General features: G+C 40.7%; 1 protein-coding gene across 29 annotated transcripts in view, besides 1 other annotated feature; it reads right to left on the reverse strand.

The window, feature by feature from the left end:
• COL4A4 (collagen type IV alpha 4 chain) overlaps positions 1-23,723 on the reverse strand; it is a 197,129-nt gene that overhangs the window by 78,903 nt on the left and 94,503 nt on the right. For 26 of the 29 annotated variants that reach the window (XR_922837.3, XR_001738602.2, XR_007069255.1 and 23 more), the window contains 10 exons: positions 16,268-16,336; positions 13,874-13,981; positions 13,143-13,361; positions 11,177-11,338; positions 9,683-9,853; positions 8,332-8,475; positions 6,043-6,150; positions 4,715-4,896; positions 3,806-3,869; positions 1,213-1,287 (listed from right to left, as the gene is read on the reverse strand). Coding sequence is in view for 26 of the 29 variants with exons in the window: in XM_011510565.3 (XP_011508867.1) it covers positions 1,213-1,287; positions 3,806-3,869; positions 4,715-4,896; positions 6,043-6,150; positions 8,332-8,475; positions 9,683-9,853; positions 11,177-11,338; positions 13,143-13,361; positions 13,874-13,981; positions 16,268-16,336 (1,302 nt within the window). In the remaining 3 variants the exon portion in view is untranslated. The remainder of the gene's footprint in view (positions 1-1,212; positions 1,288-3,805; positions 3,870-4,714; positions 4,897-6,042; positions 6,151-8,331; positions 8,476-9,682; positions 9,854-11,176; positions 11,339-13,142; positions 13,362-13,873; positions 13,982-16,267; positions 16,337-23,723) is intronic. The other 3 variants (XM_011510557.3, XM_017003297.2, XM_011510558.3) reach the window with 3 other exon arrangements.
• Positions 18,843-19,430: an enhancer, noted in NCBI's record as "H3K27ac-H3K4me1 hESC enhancer chr2:227929821-227930408 (GRCh37/hg19 assembly coordinates)". NCBI's record gives its function as "activates a minimal SCP1, AML or CMV promoter by ChIP-STARR-seq in naive H9 embryonic stem cells {active_cell/tissue: H9 hESC(naive)}" and the evidence as "EXISTENCE:reporter gene assay evidence [ECO:0000049][PMID:30033119]".

A 23,723-nucleotide genomic window follows, 5' to 3' on the forward strand; every position in this document is an offset into this window, starting at 1 on the left:
CTCAGAAAATATCTAATATTCTTTCTGTTGTATGAAATGAAACACAGCTATTGCCAGATGGAATTTTAAGATAATGCACAAAATTATTGATATGAGGTGTTTTAATTTACAAGGTACCCATCTAAACACAAACCTGGTTTCTAACCTGACCACTATTGGCTGAGTGCCCTGGGATATAACTTATTTAACCAGGCATCTGTGAATGGACATTTGTTCCATTCAAACAACGCATATTCCTGGGCATGCATCTTTGTACACTTGTCTGATTACTGACTCCAGATAAATTCCTAAGAGAATTCCTAAGTCAAGCGATATGCATATTTTAAATATTGGTGCATTTCTATAGGGTCCAGAAAGGGAGTACCAATTAATATCTGCAACATTTTCTGAAATGTAAACATATATGAGTTAAACCAATAGAACATTCTGTCCTAAGGCTGCTTTCCCCTCTAGGGGTCCTGTTCTGTCGGCTTGAACTCAAATGGTTTCCCTTTCCCTGTAAAGCATGGAGCTGTGCATAACACTGGCACCCCCCTTCTGCTGTGGGTCATCTAATGTAGCCAGTTGTGGCCTCAACTGTCACAAGAACTCAATGGTGCATCACAATCCATTCTGAAGGATTCCATGTTAAATTATTATTGAGAAGCAAAATACTGTTTAAAATGACTTAGATTTCTTGTTGGTGATGAGGTTTATGTTTGCTTGATTTGGTTTGATTTTTAGTAAATTAAAATAGATTCAATGATGGCTCAACAATGGCGCACCACTTACACTGGCATGTGCTTTTCTCAGTAGAAAGAAAGAGCTGGAATGACAACCTGCAGCTGTAGTCATTGTGAGTGGTTATTGCGAATGCATCATTTTAAATGATAGAGGGTGCAAAATGGTCCAGATTTTAATTGTTTGCAATATTCATTTTTGAGTTTGCCAAAATATGGGCATGCCTGGGGAGTTTATTATTGTGTCAACATCATCGGTCACATGAGCCATGATGGAAAAATGATTGTGAATCCCTAGTATGTAACCCTGGTGTTCTTCTAGGCCAGGCAAGAAATGCTATGGAAGTGTTTATATATAACCCGTTTTATCTATACCTTAATGCACAAAGGGGTAAGAAAATATTGATACGATCATTGCCAGCTAGAAGTAATTGTTCTGCTTTTCAAACTAAACTACTTTTTTTGTTTTAGTAAGAAAAATATGCAGCTATACCTGGACATCCAGGGCTACCTGGCTCACCCTTTGGACCAGGTGGACCAAAGTGACTGGCAGGGTCACCTTTGTTTCCTGAAAGGGATAAAATGCATGTGACATTACTTTAGACAATTTAATTTGGTCTCATACAGGTGACAGTAACGTTTATGGTATTTGTATAGCTTATCTTCAGATATTTTAGGAGAGTGTTTTTAAATACTTTTATTCTAAATAAGAACAAATAGAAATATAGATGCAAGATGCAATTTACATACCACACACACACACACACACACACACACACACGGTTTTAGAATACATCACAATCATAAGGATCTCCAGGTATTGATAAGTTTGAGTTTTTAAGTCCTGAAAAAATTTTCAACTTTAGGTTTCTATTTAAGAAATTATTTGGCATTGAGTGGCTATATCCTTATGTTTTAGAAACCAAAATCAAAAATTGTAACTGTTTTCACTGCTGCAATCATATTTCAAGCTCTTTTATAAGGCAGCTCAACTCAGTGTCCTTGCAAAAAGAAAATCACAAAGGCATACTGCATTGATGACAAGAGATGGCACATTCAAAAGCCACTGTAGGCCATGACTCCCACAGTCCCACAAAGCTACTGGTCACTCCATAATGCTTCCAGACACAAGGACCTACATTATGGTTGGGAGCCAGTTTGAAGTGGAGGACTCAAAATGGAGTGGGAGGAAAGGCAAGAAAATAGATGGGGTTTCAAGAGAATTACAGAGGTAAGTTAGATGTATCTTATAGTAACTGCCCATTTACACTCCTTTCTAAAGGAGTTCCACCAGCACCTTGTGGAAGTCTTTCTCCTATCTGATTTTACTCATAATAATGGCCAATTGCTTGAGGGGTGGGATTCTGGCCCATTCCAGGTCAAACAAGTCTTTCCTTGAGAAGATGGAATAAGAAAGTGAGAATTTGAAGTCCTTGGCTACTGGGGCAGAAACCAAAAGCATTATCATGAGCTGTCCTGATGTAGAACATATTGGAGTACAACCCAACATATCCAGAAATATCCAGAAAAGATACTGTGTAGACAGAGATGAAGCCAGTTGGTAGACAGGTAAGTGAAAAAATAGACCATGGGAAAAAGTGAGAAACCATGGATTGACTAAGGGCTAGGGTTCCTTTAGCTTTGGCAGAACTATGTCTCCTATCTGTGGGATCCATGAGACATCTTTGACTCCAGGTATTTTGAGTGCATTTCAATTCCTTTTAAGCATGGCCCAATACAAGCATGAAGGAAGTGAGAAGAGGTAGGTTTTTACTGTGAAAGAATGGTAAAGAGACTAATAAATGTATAGGTAAGCAGAAAAGGAGTGACTTCTGAACCCCAAAGTTATAAAATATCAAAATCAAATATAAAACTTTTTCCATTTGTAACCATTTCCCAAGAAGGGATCTATATTATTCTTTCTGAAGAAATAAGCCCACACAGGTCATGTTTGTTATAGCATTTAGTATATTATTTATAGAGTGTCTCTCAAAGTAGTAAGGCAGAGGATTGTAGGTCATTCATTAATTAGTATTTTATATTTTAAATTTCTTTTAACTTATATCAAAATAAAGGATAACTGCATGTTAACCTGTGAATTTACAGCTAGTTACGCTAAGGCTAAGGTTAAAAAGGTAAATCATTTTAAAGTAGATTTAAAGAAAAATATTAACCCAATGGTATACCAAGATAGTAAAACTATTAAAGGTTTTATGCAAACATTGCAACTAAGATATCCTGCTCTTTGTTTGTTTACTTGTTTGTCTGAATAAAGGGTTAATGAAGCCTCTCTTTCACTAGAATGTTAGGTGTGTTACAATGCAGCACTGTTTTTGACACAAGGTAAACTAAGGCCCGTGGGGCCAAATCTAGCCTGCAGCCAATTTTGCAAATAAAGTTCTATTGGAAAACAGCCACACTCCTTTGTTTACATATAGCCTATGGCTGCTTTCACACTATAACAACACAGTTGAATAGTTGTGACTGAGACCATATGGCCCAACAAGCTGAAAATTGTTATGATCTGGCCCTTTAGGAAAAAAATATTTTGCTATAGTAAAAAAATAATAATAATAATAAAAAACCCAATTGTAAATTACATCTATCTTGGGACTTCTTAAGTGAACTCTTAGCACCTGCTGGAAAGTCATGGCTTTAGCCTCTATGTCCTAACTGGGACTCTAAAAGCTGTACTTATGAAGTCCTTAGAAAAGATACTGGCTCCTGCGGGACATAGGGTTTCTAAGCCAAAGTGGGCACGGCCCACTGACATGGATCTGTTCTCCTTGCAACTGAGCTGTTACTTGAGGGGCTGCAGTCACTCCATGGACTGCTGCTGGGACTCTCACAGAGGAGGAAGACACGAAGAGCCTGCAGGCATGCTGTTTTCTATCTGATACCCTTGGATCTGAGTGACAACTGTAGAATATTTGGATCTTGAGTGTTTGACTGTCTAACAAGAGCCCCTTGGGTGTTGCAGTTTCTTTGATACACTTTGCTTATCATGTAAAAGGCACTTGTTTACAATGTTATAAACATTCGGGACTATGCATTTGACAGATGGCTTCTGTATCTCCAAACCATACCTTTAGGTCCTCTTGCTCCATCAATTCCTGAAAATCCAGGGGGACCTGGAGAACCTGGCTCACCCTGACAGTTTAATGAAACAAAAGGCCTTAATCAGATTTCAAATACAAATGGCACATGCACAACACGATCCAGTTGTAATTTTCTGTAACTAATTTGGTTTTTGTAATCTGCAGTGGTAACGAAAGTTTAAATGCATGCAAGCCTCCCACTACATGTATCTAGTTTTTCAAAGTTGATATAGCTTCTCCAGAATTAGAGTTCTCAGTCGCAACTGGTAGCATCCCATTCTCTACACTTGGTTGTGAAACAGTAATTGTGTTACTAATTTGAATTTTAAATTACAAATAAACAAGTTGATACTAAATAAAATAGTATTATAAATCACAGCATATGAAAGACTTTACAAATCCATTTCATTCCAAAAGATGGATAGTGAGTTACGTGTTTTCCAGAAGTATAATGTTGGCAACTACATGTATTGTACCTCCTGGATTCTGAAAGGGTATTTTACTCATGGTTGTGAAGACGAAATATATTGAAAGCAAAATCTGTGATATCTGAAACTGGAAGACTTTAAAGACAGGATTTGGGTGATTTTTCAGGACGACTTTCATTCCAGTAAACCAGTGGTCATGAGGCAAGTCTTCATGGGTGGTTTAAACCAGGCTGGGAGATAGCGATTATATGACTCTATGTTAGGGGAACCAGGCAGGAGCACTGGTCAGAAATGTCAGTTTCATCGTGGCCTTCTAGAAGGCTCTATTTTCTCCTTGAGCTACACCTTACATTCTAAAAGCCAGTGAAAGGGCAATGGTATATACGCTGGCAAATTATAGCTCCTTACGGACATCCTAAGAACAGAAAGGTTTTATTGTCTCTTCCCCCACAAAGCAGTAGCCCCTTACCTGGTCACCTGGAAGTCCTGGAAAACCAATGAACCCTCTTAGACCAGTTGAGCCTGGAGGGCCTGGGGGTCCAGGAGGCCCTGGCTGACCTTTCTCACCAGGTTCCCCTCTGTGAAATCCAGGTGGTCCGTATCTTCCCGGCTCTCCTCTTCTCCCTTGCATCCCGGGAGTTCCTTTATCACCTGATGAAGTTGGAAGTGTTACAGGTCTCTGCTGAAATTTTGAGCTAGGTAATAGTTAAGCTGAGGGACCTGGTCCTACTTTTAGGAGATAAAGCCAAAGGTATTGAGGATTCTGATTGCTGTCCCAAGCCGCTTCCTGATCATTTCTGGCTTCAGTGACCTCATTGATGAAAGAAGCTGCCTGGGAATATCTAAGGACTATCAGAGGTGGGAAGGAGCACACAGGATTATTTGCCTCCGCTGCTTATTTTACAAATGAAGAAGCACTTACCCAGAAAAGTTAAAATATTTGCCCTCTAACAACTAGCTGAGAGAAGCCAAGATGAGCACCTCATGCAGACTAAGTCTGACCTTGGAGGAGCACACAAATGGGGTTGTCAAAAATCCTCGCTCTGCAATGTTTCTGTGGACCATTAGCATGGGCATTGGGGTGTCTGTTAGAAAGGCAGGATACCTGGCTGCCCCAGAGCTGCTGAATCAGAATCTGCATTTTAACAAGCTCTCCAGGTGATTAATGTGCTCTGAAGTTTGAGAGGCACTGGTCACAATGACTTGAACAGTCATTGCGCTATTCACTTTAAAACCAACTACCAAACCTGAAACCAGTATTTTATGTATAGCTCAGGTTGATCCCAGTTTAGAATATCCAAATCTAGGAGTACACAGGAACTTCAGCTAAATTTTAGCATGGAGAAGCAAAAAATGTACCACAAGGTTTATTTGTGTTTATTTATATCTAAAAAAAATGGCCTTTTCTCACAGTGGTTCACGCCTGTAATCCAGCATTTTGGGAGGCCGAGGCGGGTGGATCACCTGAGGTCAGGAGTTTGAGACCAGCCTGGCCAACATGGTGAAACCCCCATCTTTACTAAAAATACAAAAATTAGCCAGGCGTGGTGGCATGCGCCTGTAATTCCAGCTACTCGGGAGGCTGAGGCAGGAGAATCGCTTGAACCCGGGAGGCAGAGGTTGCAGTGAGCTGAGATGGTGCCACTGCACTCCAGCCTGGGCGACAAGAGCAAAACTCCATCTCAAAAAAAAAAAAGTCTTTTCTAATCTCAGTGTTATTGGGGAAAGTTGCCTAACAAATGTGATCTGTAAAAATGTCAACTTATTTGATATGGTTAAAAACTCTTAAGTGTTTACCTCTTTCTCCTGGGAATCCATCATCTCCAGGAGGTCCAGGTTCCCCAGGTGTTCCCTTTTGTGAAATGATAGCCATTTCTCCTTCATCTCCGGGAGGTCCTATGGCTCCTATGGATATTAATTATGCAAGAACAAAATGAACAGGAACATCACACACATAATTTATCCATTACTACATTTCACTCCCAAATCGCAAATTCCCACTTAACCTACGAAGCTCTATTTATGTAGATCACAAAATGTCACCATTGTTGGCTGATTTCCTAAAGGAAGGTCAGTCATCTTTTACGTTCCTGACCCCATTTGTCCAGCCACAGAGTCTGGTGTGCCAGGAGTGCTCACTGAATGTTTGCCAAATTCAACCAAACTGGTCGGGGTCTTCACTGAGGTTAAGACAGATTTGAAAAGTTCCAGTCTAAAAAAATGTCGCTTTGTTCTATAAAATTTGGATTTGCCCATCTCATATTTCCAGTTCCATATCTCCTCCTAGCCATCCTCTCTTACTTTCCTTATATTAAAAGAACAGACACTTATCTCAATGTGGTACCCCTCACACTGACTTCTGAAAGGTAGGAAGGGCATACCGTACTTCTGCCTGATTTTGCAAACACTGGCCAGCTGTAGCAATGTGCAGGCGTGGGCTCCTACCAGCTTGACGAGTGCCAGTTACCACAATTCAAGAACCCTGCAAGCCAGTTGTTAAACCATTGCTAACTTTAAATCAGCCGTGGCAGGAGTATTTATGCCATGACACTCAGCAAACACTATAAACCACGGTGCTTTTTTTTTTTAATTTCAAAGAACTAGTTTACTAGCCCATCACTGGCGTTAGTCCAAATTTTAATTTTTAGTGGGATAATTGTATAGTAGCATAATAGCACAGCAAACATCACTTATCTAAGCTAGCAAAGAGTGACTCTTTGATTCTTTGATTCCACATAAATAATTTACAAGCTAGTAAAACAAAAAATTGTGGTAGAATCAATCAACTAAGAAGAAAAGGTAATTTTAATTCAATATGAGGCTACTTGCCCAAAAGGCCTTAAGGGCAAAAATCCTTGGGTCTGAAAATTGTCAAGCATTTTTTCTCAACACTGGAAAGGAAATACTACCTTCACCCATTAGAGCCACAGGACTAAGGAGTAGGAGTAAATATTTAACAGGGATGGGGACATAATATTTAAACCATTGGTCTCAAAACTTATTTTTCATAGTAAAGAAAACATTTTTTTCTTTTTCTTTTTTTTTTTTTTTTTTTTTGGAGACAGAATCTCACTCTGTCACCCAGGCTGGAGTGCAGTGGCATGATCTCTGCTCACTGCAAGCTCCACCTCCCAGGTTCACACCATTCTCCTGCCTCAGCCTCCCGAGTAGCTGGGACTACAGGTGCCCACCACCACACCTGGCTAATTTTTTGTAGTTTTAGTAGAGACAGGGTTTCGCCGTGTTACCAGGATGGTCTCGATCTCCTGACCTCATGATCTGCCCGTCTCGGCCTCCCAAAGTGCTGGGATTACAGGCGTGAGCCACCACACCTGGCCAGAAAACTTTTTTTTTCAAATGAAGCTTGGGGAAACTCTACTCGTGGCCCAGATGAAAGTGGACTCATGGTAGTTGAGAAGTTGGCAAACTGCAGCCCATGGGCCAAATCCTTCCTGCTGCCAGTTTCTGTACAGCACATGAGATGCGAATGATTTTTACACTGTGAAATGGTTGAGGGGTAAAACTCAAAAACAAGGTAATATTTCATGGTGTGAAAATTATATGAAATTCAAACCTTAGTATCCATAAATACCATCTTACTGAAAATTGTATTTTATGTTTGTTTCTGTGTTGTCTATGTCTGCTTTCATGCTACAAAAGCAGACTTGAGTCGTTGTGACAGAGACCAGATGGTCTGCAAAGCCTGAAATTGTTATTATCAGGCTTTTTACAGGAAGAGCTTACCAACTTCTGTTCTAACTGAAACAGAGGTTGGAGAACAAGAGCCCCCTTTCCCAAAAGGTGAGAAAGTTCTTTGAAACCTAGAAGCTATAAATCAGTGCATTAAGAACCACTTGTTAATTCTTTTTCAATTAATAGAGCAATTCATTTGCCATCTATATGTAATAAGATTAAGAGGTAAAGAAAATGAATTTTGTTTAAAATTCTAAAACAAATACCATAGAACTAAAAGGAGGAGGAATCCAAGCTTCAGACAAGTCCTATTTTATTTTTCAGAGATCACATTTCTAGGTTTGGATCAAATACCAGAAACAAATGCATGTTGCATGGCTGTATTTTATTTACCTTTGGCCCCTCTCAGTCCCCGGTCTCCAGGAAGGCCAGACATGCCCTTCTCTCCAGGTTCTCCCTTTGCGCCAGGACATCCCTCTGCACCAGGCTTTCCTCTTTCTCCGGGAAAACCTGGGAAACCAGGCAGCCCCCGGGGTCCTGGTGAAATGAGAGCATAAAGTTTTAGGAAAATATTTTATTTGTTATTTATTTTTTCAGGGGTGGGAGGTGGACAGAGTCTCACTCTGTCACCCAGGCTGAAGTGCAGTGGCACGATCTCGGCTCATTGCAACCTCTGCCTCCCAAGTTCAAGCAATTCTCCTTCCTCAGCCTCCCGAGTAGCTGGGATTACAGGCGGGAGCCACCGCCCTTGGCTAATTTTTGTATTTTTAGTAGAGACGGAGTTTCACCATGTTGGCCAGGCTGGTCTCAAACTCCTAGCCTCAAGTGATCCACCCGCCTCAGCCTCCCAAAGTGCTGGGATTATAGGTGTGAGCCACTGTGCCTGGCCCTAGGAAAACATTTTACAGGCTAGTATGATTCTTATATATTGTGTTCCTCGTAGTTCATCTACAGATGCAAACTCCTGCCTAACGCTGAGTTTGTATTCAAAGTAAACAATTGCCAACCTCACTGCACTTAGTAGCTGGGCTCAGTTGGGCACGGTGACTCAGACCTGCAATCCTGGCACTAGGGAGACCAAGGCAGGAGGATCTTTGAGGCCAGGATTTCAAGATCAGCCTGGCTAAAATAGCGAGATCCTGTCTCCTAAAAAAAAAAAAAATTAGGCGTGGTGGCACATGCCTCTCAGGAGGCTGAGGTAGGAGGATCACTTGAGCCCAGGAGTTCAAGGCTGCAGTGAGCTATGATCCTGCCACTGCCCTCTAGCCTGGGCTACAGAGCAAGCCTCTGTCTCCTAAAAAAAATAATAATAATAAAATAAAAAAATAAAATAAAAATTCCATGCTCTGCCGCCCCATCCTCAGTTTCCTACCTACAGACCTGAAGTGTGGGCCCTGATGTGTCTGAGTCCTAATCCCCTAACAGGGGGTAGGGATGAGAGTGGGGACCCCCTCCAAAATGAAAATGCACCCTTCCCGACCCTAGGAGTTTACCGTGCTACCCAGTCTTCATGAATTCTGTGGCCCTAACACCTACAAACCCCTTTTCCCATTGACCGGTACAGAAACATTTCGCCACTGGAAATAACGATACAGAGGACAAGAGCAAGGGAGGCATCATTAAGGGAAGGACAAAGCCAGACTAACAGTTAACTCTTTTTGTGTGGTCATCTGTCCAGTCTTCACTTGGCAGTGGATTTCATGTTTCTAAGATGGGAGGACATCATGGAAAAAGCACTACCTACCCTTTGGACCTGGAGGACCAGGTAGCCCATCATCTCCAAAGGGACCTGGGATTCCTGGGAGGCCTGGGGGACCATGTGCCCCAGGCCGTCCTGGGAGTCCGGGGAGGCCTTTCATTCCAGCTGGCCCGGGAGGCCCCACATCTCCCGGCTGTCCTTTCCCACCTGGAGCACCTAAGACAAACCACAGTGACCACAGTGTGTGAAGGCTGAACACTGGCTTCACACACAGCAGGAAAAATATACAGTAGCTTAAACAATGCGTTAAACAACAGTAAAGCAATATTTGTTGGCTAAAATAACAGTAGCAACTTTCCATCAATCTAAGAATATATTTTTCTAGATGCCATAAATAGAAGGGCAGATCATTTGAGTAAATGTTTCCCAGTAGGGATGAATGTAGATTATAAAAAATATTTTTAACAGAAAACAAAAAGAAAAAACAAACATGTATTTGTATTTCCTCTTGGTGGAGGGAAACTAATAGAAGAAAACTTTCCAGGTTTTTCCTGAAGCTCTACAGCCGAGAAGAAGTCAGAGCCGGTGTCTAACATTATTGGTGCTAGAAATATGGCTGTAGCGGAAAGTTTTGCCTCAATCTGGTTTTAATTTTTCAAGTGCGTATATTACTGCATTTGGATAAAAGCAATGGGATTTAAATGACAGAGTAAACAATGTGAATAGTGAAATGAAGATCATATTGAAAATAGCCCCTGCTATGTTCTGAATGTGTCCCTCCAAAATTCATATGTTGAAAGTTAATCACCAATGTGATAGTATTAAAAGGTGAACACTTGGGGAGGTGATTAAGTCATAAGGGCAGAGCCCTCATGAATAAGATTGGTGACCTTATTAAAGAGGTGCAAAAGAGCTGTTTGCCCCATCTGCCTGTGAGGACACAAGGAAGGCACACCAAATCTGCTGGCAGCTTGATCTTGGACTTCCCAGCCTCCTGAGCCATAAGAAATAAATTTCTGTTGTTTATAAATTGCCTAGTTTAAGGTATTTGGTAGAGCAGTGCGAATGGACTAAGGCAGCCTCCCTGCACCTTGTATTAGGAGACACTCCAGGGGTCTCTTGTGTTCCTACGTCTTCCTGGGTATGCCAAGAATGCAAGATCCTAATGCTCTTTACCTGGGAAACTTCTCAAGCTTGTGTTTGCAGCAAGCACCCTTGATAAATGATATAGCACTTTCCTCAATAGGAAAAGCAGGCTTTCTCACAGGTTGCTATAAAGCAGTGGTTCCTTGGCTCAGGGCTCCTCTCATGTAATGCAACCCACTGTGTGTGTGGCCAACTAGCCCACTACATTGCCCCATAAGACTTGGGTGACATGGGGGAAGTGATGCAAACCAACATGAAACTCATGAGTAACGAAGTCCTTTGTCTCTGACTCAGGACTCTTGCTTCTGGCAGCATCCATAAAAGAGTAAAAGGGGAGCTTATTTAATTGTAAGTAGGGTAAGCCCCAGACCCTTCACAGTTCTTGACACTTACCTGGGCTACCTGGATACCCAGGGAGTCCCGGTTGCCCTGGTATCCCTGGAGCACCTCTTTCACAGGAATGGCCAGGTGGACCTGGGACACCTGGAAACCCAGCATGTCCCTCTCTGCCTTTGGGACCTTTGAGACCTAGGAATCCAGGAATGCCAGCTGGCCCTGAAATGATACAATACATCCATGACATTCATGACAAAAAACTATACAGATGGCCCATGATGAATTGTTCACGCATATCAATACTGGAGGTGAACATTTTCATCCTGAATCAGTGTTCAAATGGGTTAAGTCTTTGAGTGGATTTTCTTATCATAGATGTAATGAGTTCCTTATGAACAGAGAAACAACGCATTGCTAAGTGAGTTACTTGATAAGGTTATGTGGACTGCAGTTGCCTATGCAAATAAGAAACCACTTGGTTCTTCCTAATTTTAATTAACCTCTAACTTTGCATCAGGCTTTACATCAAATCTCTACAATATTTACAAACCCAGTTTGCACTGTATGAATTTGCATTTTATGAGAGATTTCATCACTTGTATTCTCAAATTTCTACTCACTAGAAAGACAGGGTCATAATCTTCAGGAAAGAACATCCCCCATAATTCCACACCCTAACCCAAAAATCTACTTTGTTTTCCTATGTTTTCTTTACATTTTGGTTCATATGTTTACATTTAAAAATAGTAATCAGTGCAAATTCAGTTGTTGGAGCGCTTCAGATTGCATATTAATCTGCAAATGTTTTCCAGTTTGTTGCAGTCTTTACAAATATGATTTAAATTGCTAATGGCTGGATGGTATTCCTTTGAGAGATAGAGTGTGTGTGTATGTGTGTGTGTGTGTCTGTCTTTGTTCTTTCCAATTATTCCTCTGCTGTGGATAATACTACAAGGGCATTTTCATATCTATAACCTTCTTCCATTGAACACTTCCCTTAGATATATTTTCACAAGTGAGATAGTCGGATTACTGGGTCATTATTTTTATTGACTTACATTATGTTTCACCTGTTACTTTCCAATTAATTGTTTCTTTCAATATGAATCTTTTTATTTACAAACTTCCATGCAAGCTCCTTGAGGGTGCTAATTCTCCTCCTCTCCTCCACGTGTCCTGTGCTAATGTACTCTAGTGGATGCCTAATAAACACTGGCCCACCGACTTTTAGAAAAGAACCAGAATGTTCTTTGTAAACATCTGATCTGTGGTTCACATCTTGATCACCATCACCCAAGAGGCCCACTGAAGTTCAGAATGTGGGGCCCCACCCCAGAAATAATGAATCAGAATTCCTCAGACTGGGGTCCTGAAGACAATAATTTTAATGAGCTGCCCCACCCCCACTTGGTTATTTTTAAGTACATTAAAACCTGAAAAACTCCACTGGGGATCCTGAAGGATCCTTACTGATTTCAGAAAAGGATATGAATCAGTGTCCAGGCCATCTTCCTCTCTTGCGTTTGATGCCCTCCTGCCACCCCAAATGGAATGAAGGTCCCTCTACCCTGTCTCTTGTGCGAAGACAGCTTGTCCTCTAGGCTCAGCTCATACCCGGCTCTCCCATAGAGTGTTCCCAGATGCCAGCTCACAGCTCCAGCCTCTAAGCCACTCTTCCTCTCACAATCAGGCCTGCCTACCTTCCACCTGGCAACAGCCCCAGACAGGTTACACAGTCCCTGCTCTTGGCCTTTGCAGCACCAACATACTAGCTGCGGAATCAAATTGAGTTGAATGAACCACAGTGAGCTGCCCTGCATTTGAAAACAATCAATAAAGTGCAAAGGCAAGGCTAGAGATTCAGGTTATTTGAAATGTAACCAGCACCCCAAATGAGGGAAAACACTTGGGTAAACTGTTTATATTCTACATGCCTAAAGCAAAATAATCTAAACGTTCTTCAGTGACCTGTTCCAAAACTGAGCCAGCTCTATGCACCAAAAGGACAGCAAAGCCCTCATACCTTCAGCCCCTGGACATCCCGGATCACCTCTGGGTCCTTTTATCCCTGGCACTCCTGAAAGACCCCTCTTTCCCGGGGGTCCCAGGTGACCAAATGCAGGGTCTCCCGGGATTCCTTTCTGACCATTCACTCCTGGTGAGCCGGGAGGGCCTGGGGGCCCAACAGGGGAGGACCCCTTTTCACCTCCAAAACCCGGATCTCCCATGTCACCACGAAAACCTATTTAACAACAAAAAAAAATTTTTAATGATAACATGTGCAAGTATAGAACCAATACATATAAGACTTACTTTGATAAAAATACTTTTCTTAAAAACACAGGGGTACTTACTAAAATTAAGAGCAGTTTAACAGTAATGTTGTTTTGCCACCTTTTGTAGAGAGAGAAACTGCAACTTTGTGTTTCCTATAAGCCAATGATGTTTCCCTAATTGCTTTCCTTCTCTGGCAAACATTCTGGCTGGACTGAGTAGTTTCAACAACATAATAGACAAATAATAGCCCACAACTTATGCTTCAAGGTGTAAGGAGCCTTGGCAACTTATAAAATTATAATCTGAAAGTTATCACAATATAGCTAAGGGTCTATCAAGAAACACCATTTCCCTATTATCTAGGGATCCCTGGACCATTTCCTCAATGAAATTATCCATCGGTAGAAATGTTAAAAAGTTCCTGATAGATATTCCCAAAGCAGAAAAAAAAAAAAAAAAAAAAAAAACCTCACTGACCAGGTGGACCTGGTATTTCCGCTGTTCCTGGTGTGCCAGGTCTGCCTTTATGCCCATCTGAACCACTCAGCCCAGGGGCACCTTGGGGACCTGGAAATCCCTTCGGACCTAAACAATAATAAAAACAAAACACAGACTCAATAAAACAAAATCTAATGTGAACAAAATGAGATGATTTTCTTTAAGTCTATGTTAAGTCCTTTTAGAATATTTCTACTTTATGGAAGTAAGGATGTTGCCTATCCCGATTTACAAAAATATATTGTAAGTCATATGCTCCAAATAAATGTTTTCTAGGAGTGATTTTGTTAAGGCACTTTCTCAGAAGCCATCCTGTGAAGGATTCTTCCTGAAAGCCTTTGGAACTTGTACCACCATTCAGGTGACTTTTTTTGGTATCTTCCCATGCTAGGTCTGAAACACGACTATGCAACCATTGTCTGCCCTTGTAGGGGTAAAGAGGTGGTGGCCAGTGTCTACCTTGACAAGAAAGGATCAGATTAAAGACCAAAATCTATTTCCCTGCATCTTACTGAATTTGCCCTTAAATGAAGTATAGGCAAAAAGCACTTGCAAAAAGTAATAGAGAATTTTTTTTTTTTTTTTTTTTGAGACAGAGTCTTGCTTTGTCACCAAGGCTGGAGTGCAGTGACGCAGTCTCGGCTCACTGCAAGCTCTGCCTCCTGGGTTCACGCCATTCTCCTGCCTCAGCCTCCCAAGTGGCTGGGATTGCAGGCGCCCGCCACCACGCCTGGCTAATTTTTTATGTTTTTAGTAGAGACAGGGTTTCACCGTGTTAGCCAGGATGGTCTCATCTCCTGACCTCGTGATCCACCCACCTCGGCCTCCCAAAGTGCTGAGATTACAGGCATGAGCCACCGCACCCGGCCTAGAGAATCTATTTTAAACCTTCTGTGATTTTCTACAAGGAGTTATCTCAGCTAAAATAACTTATAAATCATAAACTTCAATGGAGGCACAACTGTCAAATTAAAATGTGAGTATTCACTTCTCTCGAAGTTACAGCTGCTGAAAGAAATCAAACTTTTTTTTATCCACCCATGACCAGTAAAAGTAAAAATGAACGTTCAATCCGTCAACCTGCAATTCTCCACTCTGCTGATACGGAATTATATTTCCGCACTCTTGCCATTGCCTTGTGGTGGGCGGAGTGTAATTCCCTGCCCTTTTACCCAGGGCTTGGTCATGTGACTTGTTTTGGGCAATAGGAAATGAATGCCCATGATCCAATCAGAGGTGTGGAGGGAGCCTGTGAGCTGAGCTGGCCCTCTTGCATTTCTGCAATCACATGAGAAAAGCCTGGCCTTGCAATGAGATGCATGTTGCAACCCCAAACCTAACTTGGAGCTACACTCTAAGCCAACAGAGACCATCTTAGATCAGCTAAACCCAACCAACCTGCAGACCCATAAGATAGAAAATAAGTGTTTGCTGTAGCCCACTGAGATTTTGAGATTATTTACACATTATTGTCATAAAATTTGATGGTAGAGAGAGTAACAGTCAGTCATTATTCATACTAGTAATGAACGGGTAGGGAACTCTAAAGAAACAAAGAAGAGTTAGGCAAAATATCTTAGATAGATTTTGGATTTAATTCATCTAAAAATAAGTGATTGATTCAAATGAAGCTGTTGCATGAATGTGCAAACAAGGACAGAGATATTTGGGCATTTTTTTCAAATGTTTCTGATCAAATGTTGGTTCTCTTGGAAAGTAAAACTTACAATCAATAAACAAGTGATCATGATTCACTCTTGAGGCACAGGAAAGGAAAGAAGATACAGTTTTAAAACTTTCAGGCTGGGTGCGGTGGCTCACACCTGTAATCCCAGCACTTTGGGAGGCCGAGGTGGGCGGATCACAAGGTCAGGAGTTCAAGACCAGCCTAACCAATATGGTGAAACCCTGTCTCTACTAAAAACACAAAAATTAGCCGGGCACGGTGGCGGGTACCTGTAGTCCCAGCTACTTGGAAGACTGAGGCGGAAGAATCATTGAACCTGGGAAGCAGAGGTTGCAGTGAGCTGAGATCACACCACTACACTCCAGCCCGGGAGACAAAGTGAGACTCCGTCTCAAAAAAAAAAAAAAAACTTTCAAGGGACAGACATTTTAACTGATATGTGAGCAAATCAAGGTAAATTTTATTGTACAAAGATTTGAAAAGCCCATCTGGAGTGTTCTCAAACCAGCAGACTAGAGGCCCAACTACAAATTACTACAAATGCTGTTTTCCCCTATCCATGGTCCCTCAAAACTTCAGAAATGTCCTAACTAGTCTGAGGATTCACTCTTGGTTTATCTGTCTGGCTGGTTTTTTTTTTTTTACTCTGGGAAGTATATAAGACAGTAACTTCTCATTGATAATACCTGGAGGTCCATCAAAACCTGGAGGGCCATGCCTCCCAGGGTAGGTTACGTTGCAAGAAATTGTGTCACCTGCAATGAGAAAAGAAAAGCGGCATTCACATAACTGATAGCCCAGTGCAATGTGAGTCTGTCTCAATGACAACTTCCTCAAGATATTTTTCTGTATAGTATATGCAGAAGTCAAAGAAAAAGAAGACTCCCAAGTATCATTAGATCACTTAAGCTGCTTTCATACAGAATTTTTAGATTTTTCCTGAAATCTGAATTTCAACTGTCAGAAGAGTTATAAACGTAAGAAAAGAAATATATTGATTATAAAAAGTATAAGTTTCAATAATCTATAAAAGCAATGTAGATGATAAAAATGTAATGGAGATGAACTACATGGGTAGTAGATAATAATAATAATGTAATGGAGATCTATTACATGCATATCTAACACAATAGAATGAGAAGTCTCGATAAATCATAAAATAGCAGCAGGTGTCCAATGCTGAGTTCAGAAAATCTGACTCTTACTATGAACATGGAGAAATTGTGCAAATGAAGAGGCTGGGCTAAATGTGAATAGCTACCACTTATTGAGGGTTGGTGCTTCAAGTATATTGTCTCATTTTTCTAATGACTTCACAATCTAGTAGCATCATCCCCCATGTTAAAGAAATGTTTAAAGAAAGTTAATAAGCAGTTGAGGGTCTGAATGAAAAATTTTCTAGAGAGATAGATATCACCAATAAAACACCCAAGTTTGAGCCTCTCAGTTCCCTCTCAGTTCCTGTATCCTAAAATGGAATTTTTCTCTTTTATATTAGGAATAATACCTCATAGTGCATTTCTTTATATGCTCTCAGATCTAAGATATATCAGATGAATAAAAATGACATCAGATTTTGTTGGGTTCTAGACCATGAATTTATACCTTATCAAATACCAAGATACTTGCTTGCCTTTCTGTTATCAAAACAAGAACAAAGGATATTACTTTGTTCTAAAACTTCACAACTAGCAATGTAGTTCAAGATATATATATAATACATGTTACAAAAGAAAAAAACTTAAACCTTTTTTGCCACCTTCTTAAGAGTTTTCAGCTATAATCCTGAAAGTCATTTTATTGTTTGAAATTCACATAACTGTAAAATATATTTAAAATACCTTCTTTTTTCTCACTAGAATGCCAACAAATGGTTTTTCATGGACAATGATAGTTTAAATGAGATACTAGTTTTTAAAAATTAAAATATATAGTATTATCTCAAAAGACTATAAAAATAATTCTATACTTTGAGTATGTGTATATAATATATATACATATATGTAATTTTAATATAGTCAGATTGTATGAGTTCATACTGAGAAATGAAGGAAAAGCAATTTTGGTATGTCAAATAAAACAACAAAGATATTTTAGCATCTTAAGGATTTACTTTAAATATTGTGTTGTAATGCTTTTATTTGTTTAACAAGGTACAAGGTTTGAACAGTGCCTGGATCAAATTTTATGTAGCTATTATGCCATAGCTATAATAATTTTGCCCAGAAGAGACTCATTTTAGCTTCCATGATTTTATGTGACATTCTGCCACAGAAATATTCAAAATTACCTTTCTGGGTGAAAACATCATAAATAAATTTAAAAAGCAATTCAGGATATGAACAAAAAAATTCTCTAGACAGATATCATCAAGAAAAACTAATCCGAACTTTGACAAATGAAAAACATACTGAGGGAATTACAAAATGCAGTGGAAAGTTTTAACAATAGACTAGAACAAAAAGAATTTCAGAGCTCAAAGACAAGGCTTTTGAATTAACCCAATCAGACAAAAATAAGAAAAAAATGAACAAAGACTCTAAGACATATGGTATTAGTAAAACAGCCAAACCTAAGACTAATTGGCATTCCTGAGGGAAAAGAAAAAAGAACTAATTTGAGGCAGTTATTGAGGAAAACTTCCATGGCCTGGCTACAGATCTAGATATCCAAAGCCAAGAAGCTTAAAGAACTCCTGGGAAATTCATTGCAAAAAGACCTTCACCAAGCCATATAGTTATCAGACTATCTAAATTCAAAATGAAGGCAAGAATTCTAAGAGCAGTGAGACAAATGCATCAGGTAACTTATAAATGAAAACCTATCAGACTTATAGCAGACTTCTCAGCAGAAACCTTACAAGCCAAAAGGGATTGGCATCCTATCTTCAACCTCCTTAAACAGAACAACTGTCGGCCAAGAATTTCGTATTCCACAAAACTAAATTTCATAAATGAAGGAGAAATAAAGTCATTTTCAGACAAGCAAATGCTGAGGAAATTTTTCACTACAAAACATGCACTACAAGAAATGCTAAAAGGGAAGATGGCCGAATAGGAACAGCTCCAGTCTACAGCTCCCAGCGCGCGCGACGCAGAAGACGGGTGATTTCTGCATTTCCATCTGAGGTACCGGGTTCATCTCACTAGGGAGTGCCAGACAGTGGGTGCAGGTCAGTGGGTGCGCGCACCGTGCACGAGCCGAAGCAGGGCGAGGCATTGCCTCACTTGGGAAGTGCAAGGGGTCAGGGAGTTCCCTTTCCTAGTCAAAGAAAGGGGTGACAGAGGGCACCTGGAAAATCGGGCCACTCCCACCCGAATACTGCGCTTTTCCGACGGGCTTAAAAAACGGCGCACCAGGAGATCACATCCCGCACCTGGCTCGGAGGGTCCTACGCCAGGCTGATTGCTAGCACAGCAGTCTGAGATCAAACTGCAAGGCGGCAGCGAGGCTGGGGGAGGGGCGCCCGCCATTGCCCAGGCTTGATTAGGTAAACAAAGCAGCCCAGAAGCTCAAACTGGGTGGAGCCCACCACAGCTCAAGGAGGCCTGCCTGCCTCTGTAGGCTCCACCTCTGGGGGCAGGGCACAGACAAACAAAAAGACAGCAGTAACCTCTGCAGACTTAAATGTCCCTGTCTGACAGCTTTGAAGAGAGCAGTGGTTCTCCCAGCACACAGCTGGAGATCTGAGAACAGGCAGACTGCCTCCTCAAGTGGGTCCCTGACCCCTGACCCCCGAGCAGCCTAACTGGGAGGCACCCCCCAGCAGGGGCAGACTGACACCTCACAGGGCCCAGTACTCCAACAGACCTGCAGCTGAGGGTACTGTTAGAAGGAAAACTAACAAACAGAAAGGACATCTACACCAAAAACCCATCTCTACATCACCATCATCAAAGACCAAAAGTAGATAAAACCACAAAGATGGGGAAAAAACAGAGCAGAAAAACTGGAAACTCTAAAAACCAGAGCACCTCTCCTCTTCCAAAGGAACGAAGTTCCTCGCCAGCAATGGAACAAAGCTGGACGGAGAATCACTTTGACGAGCTGAGAGAAGAAGGCTTCAGACGATCAAATTACTCCGAGCTACGGGGGAACATTCAAACCAAAGGCAAAGAAGTTGAAAACTTTGAAAAGAATTTAGAAGAATGTATAACTATAATAACCAATATAGAGAAGTGCTTAAAGGAGCTGATGGAGCTGAAAACCAAGCCTCGAGAACTACGTGAAGAATGCAGAAGCCTCAGGAGCCGATGCGATCAACTGGAACAAAGGGTATCAGCGATGGAAGATGAAATGAAGCGAGAAGGGAAGTTTAGAGAAAAAAGAATAAAAAGAAATGAGCAAAGCCTCCAAGAAATATGGGACTATGTGAAAAGACCAAATCTACATCTGATTGGTGTACCTGAAAGTGACAGGGAGAATGGAACCAAGTTGGAAAACACTCTGCAGGATATTATCCAGGAGAACTTCCCCAATCTAGCAAGGCAGGCCAACATTCAGATTCAGGAAATACAGAGAACGCCACAAAGATACTCCTCGAGAAGAGCAACTCCAAGACACATAATTGTCAGATTCACCAAAGTTGAAATGAAGGAAAAAATGTTAAGGGCAACCAGAGAGAAAGGTCGGGTTACCCTCAAAGGGAAGCCCATCAGACTAACAGTGGATCTTTCGGCAGAAACTCTACAAGCCAGAAGAGAGTGGGGGCCAATATTCAACATTCTCAAAGAAAAGAATTTTCAACCCAGAATTTCATATCCAGCCAAACTAAGCTTCATAAGTGAAGGAGAAATAAAATACTTTACAGACAAGCAAATGCTGAGAGATTTTGTCACCACCAGGCCTGCCCTAAAAGAGCTCCTGAAGGAAGCGCTAAACATGGAAAGGAACAACCGGTACCAGCTGCTGCAAAATCATGCCAAAATGTAAAGACCATCGAGACTAGGAAGAAACTGCATCAACTAATGAGCAAAATAACCAGCTAACATCATCATGACAGGATCAAATTCAAACATAACAATATTAACTTTAAATGTAAATGGACTAAATGCTCCAATTAAAAGACACAGACTGGCAAATTGGATAAAGAGTCAAGACCCATCAGTGTGCTGTATTCAGCAAACCCATCTCACGTGCAGAGACACACATAGGCTCAAAATAAAAGGATGGAGGAAGATCTACCAAGCAAATGGAAAACAAAAAAAGGCAGGGATTGCAATCCTAGTCTCTGATAAAACAGACTTTAAACCAACAAAGATCAAAAGAGACAAAGAAGGCCATTACATAATGGGAAAGGGCTCAATTCAACAAGAAGAGCTAACTATCCTAAATATATATGCACCCAATACAGGAGCACCCAGATTCATAAAGCAAGTCCTGAGTGACCTACAAAGAGACTTAGACTCCCACACATTAATAATGGGAGACTTTAACACTCCACTGTCAACATTAGACAGATCAACGAGACAGAAAGTCAACAAGGATACACAGGAATTGAACTCAGCTCTGCACCAAGCAGACCTAATAGACATCTACAGAACTCTCCACCCCAAATCAACAGAATATACATTTTTTTCTGCACCACACCACACCTATTCCAAAATTGACCACATACTTGGAAGTAAAGCATTCCTCAGCAAATGTAAAAGAACAGAAATTATAACAAACTATCTCTCAGACCACAATGCAATCAAACTAGAACTCAGGATTAAGAATCTCACTCAAAACCACTCAACTACATGGAAACTGAACAACCTGCTCCTGAATGACTACTGGGTACATAACGAAATGAAGGCAGAGATAAAGATGTTCTTTGAAACCAACGAGAACAAAGACACAACATACCAGAATCTCTGGGATGCACTCAAAGCAGTGTGTAGAGGGAAATTTATAGCACTAAATGCCCTCAAGAGAAAGCAGGAAAGATCTAAAATTGACACCCTAACATCACAATTAAAAGAACTAGAAAAGCAAGAGCAAACACATTCAAAAGCTAGCAGAAGGCAAGAAATAACTAAAATCAGAGCAGGACTGAAAGAAATAGAGACACAAAAAACCCTTCAAAAAATTAATGAATCCAGGAGCTGGTTTTTTGAAAGGATCAACAAAATTGATAGACCGCTAGCAAGACTAATAAAGAAAAAAAGAGAGAAGAATCAAATAGATGCAATAAAAAATGATAAAGGGGATATCACCACCGATCCCACAGAAATACAAACTACCATCAGAGAATACTACAAACACCTCTACGCAAATAAACTAGAAAATCTAGAAGAAATGGATAAATTCCTCGACACATACACTCTCCCAAGACTAAACCAGGAAGAAGTTGAATCTCTGAATAGACCAATAACAGGATCTGAAATTGTGGCAATAATCAATAGCTTACCAACTAAAAAGGGTCCAGGACCAGATGGATTCACAGCTGAATTCTACCAGAGGTACAAGGAGGAACTGGTACCATTCCTTCTGAAACTATTCCAATCAATAGAAAAAGAGGGAATCCTCCCTAACTCATTTTATGAGGTCAGCATCATCCTGATACCAAAGCCAGGCAGAGACACAACCAAAAAAGAGAATTTTAGACCAATATCCTTGATGAACATTGATGCAAAAATCCTCAAAAAATACTGGCAAACCGAATCCAGCAGCACATCAAAAAGCTTATCCACCATGATCAAGTGGGCTTCACCCCTGGGATGCAAGGCTGGTTCAATATACGCGAATCAATAAATGTAATCCAGCATATAAACAGAACCAAAGACAAAAACCACATGATTATCTCAATAGATGCAGAAAAGGCCTTTGACAAAATTCAACAACTTTCATGCTAAAAACTCTCAATAAATTAGGTATTGATGGGACATATTTCAAAATAATAAGAGCTATCTATGACAAACCCACAGCCAATATCATACTGAATGGGCAAAAACTGGAAGCATTCCCTTTGAAAACTGGCACAAGACAGGGATGCCCTCTCTCACCACTCCTATTCAACATAGTGTTGGAAGTTCTGGCCAGGGCAATTAGGCAGGAGAAGGAAATAAAGGGTATTCAATTGGGAAAAGAGGAAGTCAAATTGTCCCTGTTTGCAGACGACATGATTGTATATCTAGAAAACCCCATTGTCTCAGCCCAAAATCTCCTTAAGCTGATAAGTAACTTCAGCAAAGTCTCAGGATACAAAATCAATGTACAAAAATCACAAGCATTCTTATACACCAACAACAGACAAACAGAGAGCCAAATCATGAGTGAACTCCCATTCACAATTGCTTCAAAGAGAATAAAATACCTAGGAATCCAACTTACAAGGGATGTGAAGGACCTCTTCAAGGAGAACTACAAACCACTGCTCAAGGAAATAAAAGAGGATACAAACAAATGGAAGAATATTCCATGCTCATGGGTAGGAAGAATCAATATCGTGAAAATGGCCATACTGCCCAAGGCAATTTACAGATTCAATGCCATCCCCATCAAGCTACCAATGACTTTCTTCACAGAATTGGAAAAAAACTACTTTAAAGTTCATATGGAACCAAAAAAGAGCCGGCATCGCCAAGTCAATCCTAAGCCAAAAGAACAAAGCCGGAGGCATCACACTACCTGACTTCAAACTATACTACAAGGCTACAGTAACCAAAACAGCATGGTACTGGTACCAAAACAGAGATATAGATCAATGGAACAGAACAGAGCCCTCAGAAATAACGCCGCATATCTACAACTATCTGGTCTTTGACAAACCTGAGAAAAACAAGCAATAGGGAAAGGATTCCCTATTTAATAAATGGTGCTGGGAAAACTGGCTAGCCATACGTAGAAAGCTGAAACCAGATCCCTTCCTTACACCTTATACAAAAATCAATTCAAGACGGATTAAAGACTTAAACATTAGACCTAAAACCATAAAAACCCTAGAAGAAAACCTAGGCATTACCATTCAGGACATAGGCATGGGCAAGGACTTCATGTCTAAAACACCAAAAGCAATGGCAACAAAAGACAAAATTGACAAATGGGATCTAATTAAACTAAAGAGCTTCTGCACAGAAAAAGAAACTACCATCAGAGTGAACAGGCAACCTACAAAATGGGAGAAAATTTTCGCAACCTACTCATCTGACAAAGGGCTAA

This window comes from Homo sapiens, chromosome 2 (assembly GCF_000001405.40).
Source record: "Homo sapiens chromosome 2, GRCh38.p14 Primary Assembly".
NCBI lineage: Eukaryota > Metazoa > Chordata > Mammalia > Primates > Hominidae > Homo > Homo sapiens.